The sequence below is a fragment of the Homo sapiens genome, chromosome 5, assembly GCF_000001405.40.
Source record: "Homo sapiens chromosome 5, GRCh38.p14 Primary Assembly".
Taxonomy (NCBI): Eukaryota; Metazoa; Chordata; class Mammalia; order Primates; family Hominidae; genus Homo; species Homo sapiens.
The window spans coordinates 84,259,898-84,274,819 of record NC_000005.10 but is presented as its reverse complement, the minus strand read 5'-3'; the positions used below and the strand labels follow the sequence as shown (position 1 = coordinate 84,274,819).

Sequence of the window (14,922 nt, the reverse complement as noted above, 5' to 3'; positions counted from 1 at the left end):
TTTCTCTCTTTGTGTGTGTGTGTGTCTGTGTGTGTCTGTATGTGTATGTGTGTCTGTGTGTGTCTGTGTGTGTGTGTATGTGTGTAGTTATCACTGTTTTTGGTGTTTCCAAAAATCAGTCATTTGTTCTGATAGCCAGAATTTTTTCTATGTCCATTTACCACCATTTTAAGTAAAAACTAACATTAAAAAAATTATTCCACATTTTACTAAAATGAAATTAGCAATAATATCCTTAAAATAGATTTCATATGCTGGTTTTATTTTTTCTGATGAATAGTGAAAGAAATACATAAAGCATTTTTTCAACTACTTAAAATCATCTCAATATTTGTGAAAATTGGTCTAGAATGTTACTGGGAAATAGTGACCATAGAGAGGTTAAATGTTGAAAGTAAAAATGATATTAAAATATATTAGGGCCTGGTGTGATATTAAGCCTGTGATCCCAGCACTTTTGGAGGCCAAGGTGGGAGGATTGCTTGAGTCCAGGAGTTCAAGACCAGCCTGAGCAACACAGTGGGACCCTGTCTTTACAAAAAATTTAAAAATTATCTGGGCGTGGTGGGCATACCTGTAGTGCTACCTACTTGGGAGGCTAAGGAGAATCACATGAGCCTGGAAGTTCGAGGCTGCAGTGAGCCATGATTGCACCACTGAACTCCAGCCTGGGTGACAGAGCAAGACGCTGTCTCTAAAAGAAATAAAAAATAAATAAATAAAATATTTTAGGATGCTCTAATTCAAATAGCACTTTTCAAATCAGAACTATAACAACTGGAGTAAAAGCAGATGGACAAAGATAGGGGAAAAATAGGTTAGATCATCCCCACCTGTGGTCAAAATCTTGACAGAATATTGACAACAAGGCATAGATGTACACACTGGGAAGAATATTAACAAGTACTGGGGTTATAATAAAGAGTTGTGCAGGTGTCAAAACAGGGTGGCCTAACTCCTTCTCATATTATAAAGGTATAGAAATACAAGGAGATAGATATGTAGAACTATTTAGAGGCGTGAAAGAATCCAGCACCATGAGAAGTAGACAAACCATGGTGCTGATTTCACCGTGTGTTTGAGGAGTGTGGTAGAAACATTAATGAAGTGAAAATAGACATTAAAAGGGACATTTGCATAGAGACTCTAAAACAAAAGATGTGTGGTTGAGAAGTTTTAGGCCACTGTGGCAATGCTGTGTTTCTCACTATTCAAGTAGATTTCATGGGTTTATTTAAGACCTAAGTAACACTTATTTTATGTGTGAGGCATTTTAAAAACATTTTTATGAATATTAACTTCTTTAATGCCTACCACCACCTTATCAGGCAGACGCTGTTATTATCCTCACTTTTTACACGTGGGAGCAAAACATGAAGAGATTAAGGGACTTAAGTATGTGGGAAAGCTAGGTGTGAACCCAGGAGTCTGACAGGGTTCATTATGAGCAGATTCATGTTGCTCTGCCTAAGGAGAGCAGAACAATTGTTCTAAAGGAAATCCCTTTCTCTTTGGCAGAGTGATTGATTCAGGAACTCAGGCTTGGGACCATTAGCGCCCTAAAGATAGGAATTGGGTCAGGAATCTGGCATTGTACATTGAGGGCCGAAATGTAGTGAGGGAAAAATTTCCAATTCTTTTGGAAAAGAAATTTCCTTGCTCTTACTAAAGGATGCTTATTACTCCCTGACTTCTTCTGGATATCATGGGGTTTGGATGTGAATCTGTAATTACTGCTTTTGTCTTTTTAGCCTTGTATGAAAAATGCCTCTGATCCTAACTAGATACTGGAGACAAGCAAAGCCGAGAAAACTGTAGAGAAACAGAGGTTGAGACACTGGCCACTCCCAAGTCAATACATTTCTAAAATAACACAACAATGTTGACACAATGTGGTAACCATACATTCCATTTTCTTTAGGAAATATTAATCAAGACATCCATCGTGGCAGCTTCCAGGAAAAAAAAAATAATTCATACTTCCATCTTATATTTGCAAAGATAATTAGGATTTTTATAGTGCTGTTTAAAAAATGTGTTCAGATAACAATTACAACTTCTCTCCAGCTGTCTAAATTCAGATTCTTTTGGGTTTCAAAGCAACTGGCACCCTAGCATAGAATATCAGATAGCTCGGTAAGCCTGGTGTTGAATTATACCATTTATGAGTTGCATTTATTAGGCAAAATTCTAAGCCTCTTAAACTACTTTCTCACTTGTGAAATGCTGATATTAAGGCCAACCTCATGTTTATTTTGTGTATTAAATGAATTATATATGTGCATATATATACCTACACATACATATGTGTAGTTACTAGATATGCTTCCTGGTACATAGGAAATATTCAATAAATTGCTTATTAATATCAACAAATCTTTGATAAATAAGTTAAAACCTCCTTAGACTTGAAAAAGGACTTTAGCGTATATTTTTATCTTTATGACAATTACGTGGAGGTTGGTGAGGTATTTATAATTATAATATATAATTATTTTTATCTTGTACATTAGGACAATGAAGTTAAAGAAATTATTTGGATTTGGAAAATTTGCCTAGGTAGTAACTAGAAGATTTTAAAATTTCAATTGATCTCATCAGTTTCTGGATTTTTAAGCCCTTATAGAAAAACACTATGTTTAGATTCAAAAATATAAATAATTATATTTCCTTCTTCACATTAACAAATAAAGAAGTTACAAGAAAGCCGATGAAGGCTAACCTAAGTGTGAGCGTTGTTATTGCATATGCTTGCATTCCTCTTGAGCTTTAACTCCACATTTTTAATCATTACATTGTCAGTAGTTCCAGATTTTCTTCCTGTAAAAGAACAAAACAAAACTTTTTAAAATTAAGCTAAGAAGAAGAAAAGCTCCGAGAAAATCTTCTGAGAAAAAAGCAGTAACTAAGTATCCAAAATGGAATCATTCCACAGTTGAGGATGTGGTCTGTAATTCCTTTGACTGCTATCAATTTATGCCATCCTGCCTGAGGAGTTTCTATATTGACCCTGGAAATGCTTTTAGATTTTATCACACCAATAAAGTTACTAAAATTGAATTTTATTCCTAATGGTATTGGATTGTAGCTGATTTAGTAATTAAGTAATTACTTGAAAAAGCATGAAACATAATTTCATTAATCAAAGTGAAAAACTTGATAAGGGGTTTTAAGTGAACATAAAATAGATTTTCTTTTCCAGAGGTAAGTAAATTTCAGTAGCTTACAAGCTTACAACATATCAGTGACTGGGGGCTTCATGGGGACAACCCAAGGCACATAAATCATTTATAAGGGATCCTGTGAACATCAGCATTAATTTTCCTTCTGCAATAGACTAAGTCTCTCCTTTATTTTATATTTATTTATTTATTTATTTATTTATTTATTTATTTATTTATTTGTAGAGACAGAGTCTCGCTCTGTCGCCCAGGCTGGAGTGCAGTGGCGCAATCTCGGCTCACTGCAAACTCTGCCTCCCGGGTTCACACCATTCTCCTGCCTCAGTCTCCCGAGTAGCTGGGACTACAGGCGCCCACCACCAAGCCCGGCTAATTTTTTGTATTTTTAGTGGAGACGGGGTTTCCCCGTGTTAGCCAGGTCTCTCCTTTATTTTAAGTGATAGTTAAACGGGCATTCTAATTTCACATCTAATTTCATATTACAATACTTATTAATAATGTGGTATTTTCAAATAGGGTCAATTAGGTCTATTTCTCTTCTTTTAGAAAGTCTCAGAAAAGATGAATTTTAAAATATTTAGATAAAATTTAAAGAATAAATTGGGTAGACCAGGACTGTGTCACAAATTCGTGGTATAACTCATACGAATTAACCCTGCACTTTGAATCCAGTAGGAGCACAATAAATGTTCTTTGAGTGAATGAAGGGATTGATGAATGACTAGGGATTTTTTTTCAGGTTTGGCTGTATAAGTAATCTAGACCGTTATTTATGTTTCTATGATATTTTCATGTCTGCCTTCTCCACGGATATCACTTCACTCTTTCTGTCAGGCTCTAGGTCGGAGAATAAGAAATTAAAGTTGTAAGTTACTTTTTATTAACTTTTTTTATTACAAAATGGTGACAATAGTAGCATTCATGGCCTATGATGATTGTGAAGTTCATGAGAGATAATATCTTATAAAGTGCTTAGAACTTAGAACGGTGCTTGCCACATGATTCGTTCTTAGTGGTTAGTATGTTGTTGGTGTTCGTTAAAGCAAATACAAATTTCACCCTCTCAGTATACATATTAATGAAAATAAGAATTGTTCTAGAATTAATTTATGCATTAGTTTTGTCAAAGAGGTGTTATAAGTTGACAAACCCCATGGTAAGGTAAGCAAATAATATCAATAAATTTACTGACAGATGTGTATATATCCTTAGGCTTATGAGTTAAACAGCTATGATAAACCTAAATATTTCACATCTGCAATGTATGTCTGATGAGAATGTGCTGGGCTCCTGAAGATCCCACGTTTAGTATTCGCTACATTAAGGAAACATTTAACATTCATGGCCCATCATGATACTCACTAACCTTTGTTTATTTCCATTCAACCTTAGTAGTTATCATTTCTGCTTCTACTTTGCTGCTAATTGGGTTTTTATAGGTTGTGAGTTTTTAAATTAAATTTTTTCTTATTATAAAAAATCAGTGCATATAATTGTAGAAAACATTACAAAATAAAGATAAACACAATGAAGAATATTTAAATACCCTTGTGATCTCACTATCTAGAGATAACTAACGTTGATATTTTTGCACATATCCTTCTAGATTTTTCTCTCGCTTACTCCAACTTTAGAGAGAGATCATAGAGCATACACTGCTTTTTCATTTAACAAAGGACTTGACAAGATCCAACAGCATTTGTTTAGTGACCCCATCTTTACAAATTCTCATCATTTGCTGTATAAAGAGTTATCCCAAACTTAAAGTGAAGAACGTTGGGGAGATTAGAGAAGATGGCAGGCCAGGTAGTTTGGAAACTCTTTAGTGTCTACTGATATGCCTCTTGAGCTTCCTAACCCTAGGTCTGGGAAAATTGCCAACAGTTGCATTAACTTTGGGGATAATGTCCAGAATAAAGCTCTAAGAGCCCCCAGATTTCTGTATCTTTTGGATTAGTTATGCAATAAAGTAGATCTGACTTTATTGTTTATTCCTAGATCATAAGAACTCAGAGTTCATCTTGTTAGAGCCAACCTTGCAAAATTACTATTGTGGAGAAACAGAAATCATATGAACATATTGCTTACACTAATATAAATTAATTTGGAGACAGTCCCAGCTGCAATGCCACCAACCATAACTAAAAGTGATATACTATTAGTAGTATTCTTTATTGAGATAATATTTCTGAAAGGATACTAGACAGAATAAAAATTTTGAATGATATGTCTATGTCTAAGGTTATATTTCCTGTACAAGTAAAAGTTCACAGAGATATTTGTACAAGGGTGATTGATTCATAAATACTTTGTAAAAGGAAAAAATTAAAGCCTCCTAAATGTCCAATAGTATAGAACTACATATAAATTTTGACATATTCATATTTTTGAATACCATATATTTGCTGAAAAAAGTGAAATGGCTTTGTGCTGACAATCTCTGAGACATATTGCAAAGCAAAAATTACTTGAAATGGAACAATGTGCCATTTCTGTCCATTCGTGTGAAAGAAACATAAAAGAGATCATATATAAATTTTCAGAAAGGATACATAAAATGAGCTAACAGTGGCTACATATATGATGAGGGAACAAAAAGAAGAGGGTGTTTAAAGTTCATGTAATAACTTTTTAAACTTTTTCAGGAAGATATGTCTTTATTTTTTATTAAAATGAAAATAATTGATTAGAATGAATAGAGCTAAACGGACAAAGATTTGTGGACTATAATTCAAATTAGTGATGGGATATGGGATGATAGAGAATTTGTGCTTTGTGCTTTCCCTATTACTGCATTATCTGAACTGTTTACAGTGAGCTTACACTATTTTTAGAATTAGAAAGATGTATTGAATTTTATAATGGAACAGTACGAAGTGGTGATTGATAATATATGCCCCTGAATTATACTGCCATGGTTAAAATCTTGTGAATATAGGTGATTTTCTTATTTTTTCTAACAATAAAAGTGCGTGAATCATCAAAGATGCTAAGTGAAACAGAGGTGTTATTTTTATCTAAAAACCTAAGGGAAAATCTTTATGTACAGAGCAGCTTCTTGTGCAACATTAATGAATTAAAAACTAATATCAATGTCAAATAAAGGTTAGCTGAAGGAAGTAGTTCATATCATTAGAAATATATTGATATCTATGTCTGAAATCCTTGCTGTGTCATTTTAAATATGTATGCTTTAAATTTTCAGTGATTAACCATTTTACTCTCGTGTAAATGGTTATAATCTTATTTTTCTAAGCATAACATGGATTCAGAAAGGACTGGTGTTTGCAGAAAGAATGCATAGTTGACTTTGTTGCTTAAAGTATCATTCACAACAGGAAAAAAAGCTCTTAAGCCATGTAGTCCAGAAGTTGCTCATTATTCTGCTAACAGCTCTATTTTATGTACACCTGCCATGAGATAGGATCATTATCAAAGGACAGTTAACTCTTTTTGGCCAAATTATTATTGTTATTTATTTATTTATTTATTTATTTATTGGAGACGAGATCTCACTCTGTCACCCAGCTTGGAGTGCAGTGGCGCGATCTTGGCTCACTGCAACCTCTGCCTCCCGGGTTCAAGCAATTCTCCTGCCTCAGCCTCCCGAGTAGCTGGGACTACAGGCACACGCAGCCATGCCCAGCTAACTTTTTGTATTTTAGTAGACATGGGGTTTCAACATGTTGCCCAGGCTGGCCTCGAACTCCTGAGCTCAGGTAGTCTGCCTGCTTCGGCCTCCCAAAGTGTTAGGATTACAGGCATGAGCCACAGAGCCTGGCCTTTGGCCAAATTATTACTGAGATGTGCAACCTCAGGCTTCCAAAGGCTCCATTACTGTCATTTTGTCATTTCATATATTTTATCATTTTCATGTGATTGTTTATTGTCATCATTGTCTTTTTTTTGGTAAGAGAGCATATACATAAATACATTCAAATGTATGTATGAAATCCCTTGTTCAGATACATATTGAACCTGCTTTGAAACAACTACTGTCCAAGACTTGTCACTCTCAACTCAAATGATGATTCATATGCTGTGGCCATTCAAAAAATTTTCCAAGGAAGATTGGAAGCCATAGATGGGTTCCTTTTGTAATACTCAAATAAAACTCAGTATGGAACCAATATATCTTTCTAGCATCTTTTTGAAAGCTGGTCTATTCTGGTATCTGCGCTACTATCATGTGTCTGCCATTACTTTCTAGAAACACTAAGCATTACCCACCTTAGGAGGATAAATTATCATACTAAGGGGCATAGCCATGTTAATAACTGCAAACTGAAACCCAGAATTATTCCTATTTTCACAAAAGGAAGATCACATATGCAAGTGATGAGAAGATTAATGCAAGAGGCCAAAGCTTTCCAAAAGATAAGAAGGGTGGGCAATACACAACAATATTAAATAATTGGCCACAGGGTAGAGAATGAAGAGACCTTGAAGAAGGTGAAGAACTTGAAGAGGTGAAGGGAGAAAGTGAAGACTAAAGGCAAGGGAAACCATTCCAACACACAGATTTCATTTCTGAAGCCATGTTGTTTGTATGTGAATACTACTTTACCATTTACTGTTCTGTGTCTTTGGATAAATTATACCAATTCATAAAATTTATTTTTTCCATAAGTAAAATGAGGTTTATCACATCAGAGAATTTTCCCACAGGGATATTATGAAGCTTAAATGTGATAATACCCATAAAACACTTAGTATAATTTTTGGTACATAGTGAAGGCACAAAAATAACTACTGTTACTATAAAATGATAAAATATACTAACAAATAGGCTACTAAATGGAATAGAAGAATCCAAGGGTATATGAAATTTGGGGATTTGTGCAAGCAGGTAATTTGTGCCAGAAAAATTTGTCAGGAACAGTTTGTGTGATTTTAGGCCTAAGGCTAGTTATAAGTAATAGGAATGTAGAGAGAGGAAGGTGGAAAAGAGGATTTATATACAAGTGGTTCAAGATCTTTTTTATCCTCCCAAACTCTGAGAGCATCAGAGGTATCCCCATTAGTTCCTTGCCAAGGCAGTCATGTCAAAACAGAGCTACATGGGACCTGGGATAGGAGTTCCCCAAGGTTTTATATAACTTGAAGCCCTGTACCCAAGATGATACTAAACTGCACGCATACCACCCCGTGAGAGTCTCTGACAAAACTGTGTAGAGAATTCAACCAATGAGAAAAGAGATAGACAGATAAGGTCAAAGCCTCTTCAATAGCAGAGATAAACCAGTGCTGGTTTCTGAGCTTTGGGTTAGAGCTGCATAAAGCCCTCCTCTTTCATGTTGGGGCTGGCTCAGGGTTTGGAAAGGATCTGATGGGACCAAATCATCACAAAAATGAGGACAGGAGGGATACAGAGACTGAATACCACTAAGTGGTCATGTTGTGTGACCCAATGCAGTGAGGCTATTGATAGAATAGAGGCAATGGGTTTTTGAATGTATTCAAGTTCTTAAAGAGTTGTCCCTTTCTGTGCTTAATGTCTTCTTTTCAGCAAGTCACATTTTATTTGGTAGCCCAGAGAGGTAACAAAACCCCACTTCCTAAATATTTATGTGGTTTACTTAGTGTAAAAGCATGTATTCTAAATGGAATTCCATTAAGGCAACTGTAACTCCTGAAGAAAGGGCACTTTGAGTTTCTCCTTACAATTAGGTTGTTCCCTATAAAGATGCAAATTGGAGTGTTAACAGCAATAACCTGACACCTGTTGGAAACCAAGAAAGTGGCAAAACACCCATAATTTCTGACTTCCACTGAGTTAATTGCTCAGTTGTCTTTCCTTGTCAAGAACTCCCATACATTAAGGAAACGCATTGGCCATATAGCCATTAAATCTGAATAACAGATTCCATGTTTGTTAAAGAATTCAAGAGCTCATTTGTTCTCATGTTTATCAGTAAGCTTGTCTACAGAGGGGTGCCTTATCAAAGTGATTTGTGTTTTTGCTCCCTAAGACTGTTGTGGCTGTGAATAAAAAGACTTACTTCATAGAACTTTAGAGATTCTTTGGAATTAGAACATATATCAACTCTTTTATAAAACGTTGTCTTCATGTGAAAACGTTGTAAAAGGTGTGTATGAAATCATTCACTTTTTACAAAATTTCGTCAAGATCTAAACCTGACTTTTAAAATATGATTTCTTTTCCAAAGTTAACTAGCTGTCTATTGACTATTTTCAGTTGAAAGAGTACCACTTTTAATTTTTGTGATGTCTCTGTATTTGCCAACCACTAAATAGATAAGCATATACAGTCAAGTTTGGCAACATAGTTTATAATGTTATGCAATGAGGTGACTTAAAACATCCTGGCAGTAAATAGTTGGGGCTGCAGTATAAGGTATAAATTCTCAACAGTAAAAGATACCCGTTTGGCTTTTACATGCTGTAACTTGAAACTAAGACATTCTACTGCTGTCTTAAATTATGACTTTTTAAACAAGATATAATTAAAGCATGAAATTAGGCTTTGCAATTTTTTTTCTGTAATTTTAACATTACATACCTTTCTGCCTGAAAAATTGATATAACAGTTTTATCTAGTGATTAGCAAAATGTTCTGTTCTTCTTTTAGGTGACTTTGCTTAATAAGTGATCAAGTTAACCAACTTGTGTTTGACTTGTTTTCCTTGGAGGTTATTTTTATATGTGACTGACCAGATTTACGCTTAGAAAAAGTAAGAATTCACAATCTAAGATCTAAATAAGAAGATTCTGTGAAACTTCTACAGCTGGACGTGGCACTGAATTTCATCTTTTTTGTAGCACTTGATTGTTTTTATAAAGTCAGTATGAGTTTGTGTTCTTGACAGAGATTGATGGACTAACTGTTGCCATCATGATGTGCTGCATTATTTATATACAGCAGCTAAATTCAATATTTTAGTTTGTCCTCTGCTGTCAACTGAAGAGCTGCAATCTTCTCTGAAAGAACAATTTTCTGGGTTTGTAATTGTTGCATAATTACAAAAATATATTATCTAAAAGCGTAAAGTTCAGTAAGCTATATTGTGTATTTTTCAACAAACATAAAGTGGTCAGGTGTCACTCCTTTGCTGTCGACCCTCATCACACCTATCTGGTAAAACCACAAGCCTGGATCCATCATCTGCTGCGTGCCTGCACTACCTCAGCTGTTGAGCTCTGACCAGATACACAGTGGGGTACATGTTGACATTTTAAGTTCTTGTGTGGGCCCTCAGTACTTTCCCTCCATCATTTTTCTATGTTTTCCCAGGCAACAACCTTCTATTTACTGCATGCGCATGTTACCTTCTATCCTTCTCAAACTTCTGGTCCTATCACATTCGCAGCAGCCTACTACACAGAAAACTTCAAATGGGAACTCCTTCAATTTATTTGTTTGTTTGTTTGGAGACATAGTCTGGCTCTGCCGCCCAGGCTGGAGTGCAGATGCACAGTCTCGGCTCGCTGCAACCTCCACCTCTTTGGTTCAAGGGATTCTCATGCCTCAGCCTCCCGAGTAGCTGGGACTACAGATGCACACCACCATGCCCAGCTAATTTTTGCATTTTTAGTATACCTCTAACTCAACAGGGTTTCACCATGTTGGCAAGGCTGATCTCAAACCCCTGGTCTCAATCTGCCTGCCTCAGCTTCCCAAAGTGCTAGGATTACAGGCATGAGCCATCATTCCTGGCCAGAACTCCTTCAGTTTGTGTCATCCAGGCTCAAACTTCCTGGTACATCTTCCTCCTTGAGTCAAAGCTGAATCCTTCCATATGTACTCCGAGGCTCATTCATCGTATTTGTACACATGCTCTCACCCTTCTGATTATTCCTTCTCCACTGTTTTCTTTAACCACTTCTTTCTAGTAGTTGCTTCTATCAGCACCTACATCATCAGGTTTCTGATGTTTTAAATATATTTCCAAAATGTGTCCCACTAGATTTCTATAGGTATTTGACTAACATTTATTGAGCACTTTCTATGGCAGGAACTTCACTAAACTTGTAACCTGCATTCTAACATTTAACCTTTACCATTACCATTTTTCAAAAAAGCAAACAATGATTTAGAAACACAGAATAATTAGAGAGTAGCAGAGTAGGATGCCAACTCTGCCCCGTGCGATTTTCTTAAATCACGGTGGTATATCCCGCATAACACACTGCCATGCTTTCATCTAACTCCTGAAAGAATTGCATCATTACTTCTAATACACCTACCCCTTTGATTCTTTAACCTACTTCAGGCTGGCACTGATGCCTACCACTCCTGTGGATGTGCCTTCATCTAGGTCATCAAGGAACATCACCTTTTCTAAAGCAAGACAGTACTTCTTGGCCCTTAGCTAAACTGAGCCCTCAGAACTGTGCAACACTGGTGCTCACTCTGGTCTCTAATGGAAGGTCACTTGCTCTCAGAAGGCTTCTTGACTCACAGTTCTGGGTTTGGTGGCCCTCTCTCATGCTTTCTTGGACCTAACAAGCAGTGGTAACTATTTATCAACTTATTTGTGTCTTTTTGTGAGAGTCTTTGAGAATAGGAATTTGTCCATCATGGGCCCTATAATATGTGCAGTAATTATGACTTAGTGGCATATAGATGGGCTTCAGTAAATATTAACTAATGATTGGATGGATATTCTTCATAGGTAGAAATAATATAGTCAAAAATGCTTGGGGCCAGGGGCGCGGTGGCTCATGCCTATAATCCTAGCACTTTGGGAGGCTGAGGCAGGCAGATTGTCTGAGCTCAGGAATTCAAGACCAGTCTGTACAACACAGTGAAACCCCATATCTACTAAACTACAAAAAATTAGCTGAGCATAAAGGCACATGCCTGTAATCCCAGCTAGTCAGGAGGCTGAGGCATGAGAATTGCCTGACCTGGGAGGCGGAGGTTGCAGTGAGCCAAGATCATACTACTGCACTCTAGCTTGGGTGACAGAGTGAGACTTCATCTCAAAAAAAAAAAAAAAAAAAAAAAAAAAAAACCAACCAACCTTGGGAATTGTAGTTTATGGTTGAATTTCCTGGTTATTTACAAAATTTTCGCTACTTATTTTGTAAGGATTACATGTTTGTAGGGAATGTATGTTAATATTAAATAGTAGCTATTCTATTTTCCCTAACATAGTGAGTGCCCTTATTTATGATTTGCTGATTGTAGCTTCCTGCAAATGATTTTTTTCTTAACTCAGTGAATTAACAAAGAAAGCTAGTCACATAAATACCTTCCTCATTTGCCTTTCTCCCAATTAAAGGCAAGAAAATACAAACTAACTTCCAAACTTCCTCTTTCCCTCCTTCCTTTTCTTCCTTGGTTTTTCCTATTCCTTTCTCCTTCTTCTTGAATAAATTGAGATATTTGGATTAGCTTTAAGAAACTGTGGAGGGCTGGGAACCATCCCCAGAGATTCTGATTTAACTGGACTGGGCATGAGATATTTGAAAAGCCTCCCCCGGCCCTGTGATTTTAATATGCAGTAAAGTCTGAGAACCACTGGATTAGTTCATTTCGAATGTCCTTTTCAATTCTAGAAACTGTAGGTTCTTTTAAGGGACTTTCCAGAGTGTTTTAAACTAAAACATATGCAAAAAGATTTTGTTTTTCAAAATGTTAGAGCCCAAAACATTTTTGTCTTTTTATCCAGTAGACCTTGATTGAAGCCTTATGTCATCAGCTGTGAAATTCAAATAGTCAACACTGAACAGCAGATTTTCTCCTTATTTTCTTCAGCCCAATATACCCTTAGCATTTGAAAACCTAGCTAAAAAGAAAAATGTCTTAAAAATAGTGAGGCAAACCACTGGATAACATCTAAGAGATGTCCTGCTTTAAATTAGCATTAATGTGGTTTTGAGTGAGTCTAAGTCTAAGAGGTTTCTTTGTTCATTTATTTGATTTTTGTCTTCTGTGGTTATTTTTGGATTCTGTGGACACTGAGGTGGAGAAATGGATGGTCTTTTATTGCAAGGATGTCTAATGATTTACCAGTAAAATAGCAGATTCTATCAATGAAGATATAATTATTCCTATTGACATTTGTATCTTATTTCCTTCTGTATACTTCCAAATTGCAAGGTGGTCTGCAATAATAACTAGAATTTACTTTTAAAGTACATATGAAGGTAAGAATCAGATTGCACCTTCTTAACAAATTTATTTGAAATTTAAATTGGCCACACTCATAAGCTTTAATTGTGAGAAAAAGCTTTAAATCAAAACCTATGCATCAAACTCATTAGAATGTTCAACAAGTGAAATATCAATATTCAACACAAATGGTCTCTAAAGAGGCACAAAAGCAAATTGTGAGGCTATTGTTGATTTTTAAAAATGACATTTATTTTGTTCCACACAATTTCACAGGTAGTAAGTCATAAGGGTGCTAACATTTTCTGTGAGTTTTACCAATTTGAGTATGCAAATTCTCATGAACTTTATCTAATTTTAACTAGAATTATTACTCACTTGTGTACTAGAGTTGGCTCATTTTGTCAAATATTCTGTCTATAGATTGGTTCAAAACTCTCGCTTCTACAATAGAAGGCAAAACCTTTATTTTCTTTCAGTTTTTAAGTGAAATGATAGTACAGTTCAACAAGAAAGCAATAGATTGAAGATGAGGTTGTAATGCACAGAGCTGCATTGTCACAGATGCAAAACATGAATTTAAATTGTCTCTGCATTTTACTTTTCCATATGTAAGTATGTATTGCAATGTTCTTCACATTTAGTTTGTTGAGATATTGAAGAAATTTAATAATGTCTTGTGTTAGTGAGGTAACATTCTGTGGTGATATATTACTACTTTTTTGCTTTTACTTCTATATCTGTATACAAATTTCTTTACAGAAATGGAGAGAGGGCAGGGATGATGGTGCAGACATATTCTAGGTGGCTGCCAGCACTTTGAAAAGAGCAGAGAAAATGGAGAAGCATGCATTCATCTAAATAAATTATTAGGATATTTATATAACTGTCAATACATAAATACATTAACAGTACTATGTAAATACATTAATATGTAAGAAAGAGTTCAACATGTAAATTCATAAGTACATTAGCCTGTAAATATTAATACAATAGTATATGTTCAGTAGATGTTTACTGCATATAAAGAGTAAGCTTAGTAGAATTGCCCTTGATTACCAGGAACACAGAGGATCAAATGTTGGGCTTTAAATTATCAATCAGTTTCTATTAAAAATGTGTTGCTGGCAATAAACACTTATTGAGAGTTTTTCCCCTGTCTTCCTTTCTGTTCCTGAAATCATCTCTGTCTTACCTATCATGAGGGCTGACCACTTCCTGTTCCCTGTGCCTAGAATGCTCTTCGTTAGGCTTTAACACCACTGATTCTAGTTCATTCTTCAGTTTGCAGCTCTTGTGAAGGCCTTGCTTCACTGTCTGTCATAAATAACCAGTTTTATTTGCTGTTTTTCTCATCAGCCTGTTTCTCCCTCCTCTCATGGCTTTTATTACAGTGAGTGCTACCTTATTTATTTGTGGCATATGAATATGTGATTAATGATTCAGTAATTCTCTGATATGTGTACTGGAGACAAACACTAACATATAAAGAAACCTGAACACAAACTATCCAAGAGTTTAATTATCAGTGAACAAAATCAGCTGTCCTTTCTACCTGATTCTCAGTAGTACCAACATAGAATTTTCTTCTTTGTATGGCATGAGAAGTTGTATAATTATATACTAAGCTCACAGAAAATGCACAACCACAATCATAAA

At 35.5% G+C, this 14,922-nt stretch overlaps 1 protein-coding gene across 2 annotated transcripts in view, besides 1 other annotated feature; it reads left to right on the top strand.

Moving 5' to 3' along the window:
* EDIL3 (EGF like repeats and discoidin domains 3) overlaps positions 1–14,922 on the top strand; it is a 444,327-nt gene that overhangs the window by 110,061 nt on the left and 319,344 nt on the right. The gene's annotated exons all lie outside the window — the stretch shown is intronic.
* Positions 8,525–9,208: an enhancer, noted in NCBI's record as "OCT4-NANOG-H3K4me1 hESC enhancer chr5:83561430-83562113 (GRCh37/hg19 assembly coordinates)". NCBI's record gives its function as "activates a minimal SCP1, AML or CMV promoter by ChIP-STARR-seq in primed H9 embryonic stem cells {active_cell/tissue: H9 hESC(primed)}" and the evidence as "EXISTENCE:reporter gene assay evidence [ECO:0000049][PMID:30033119]".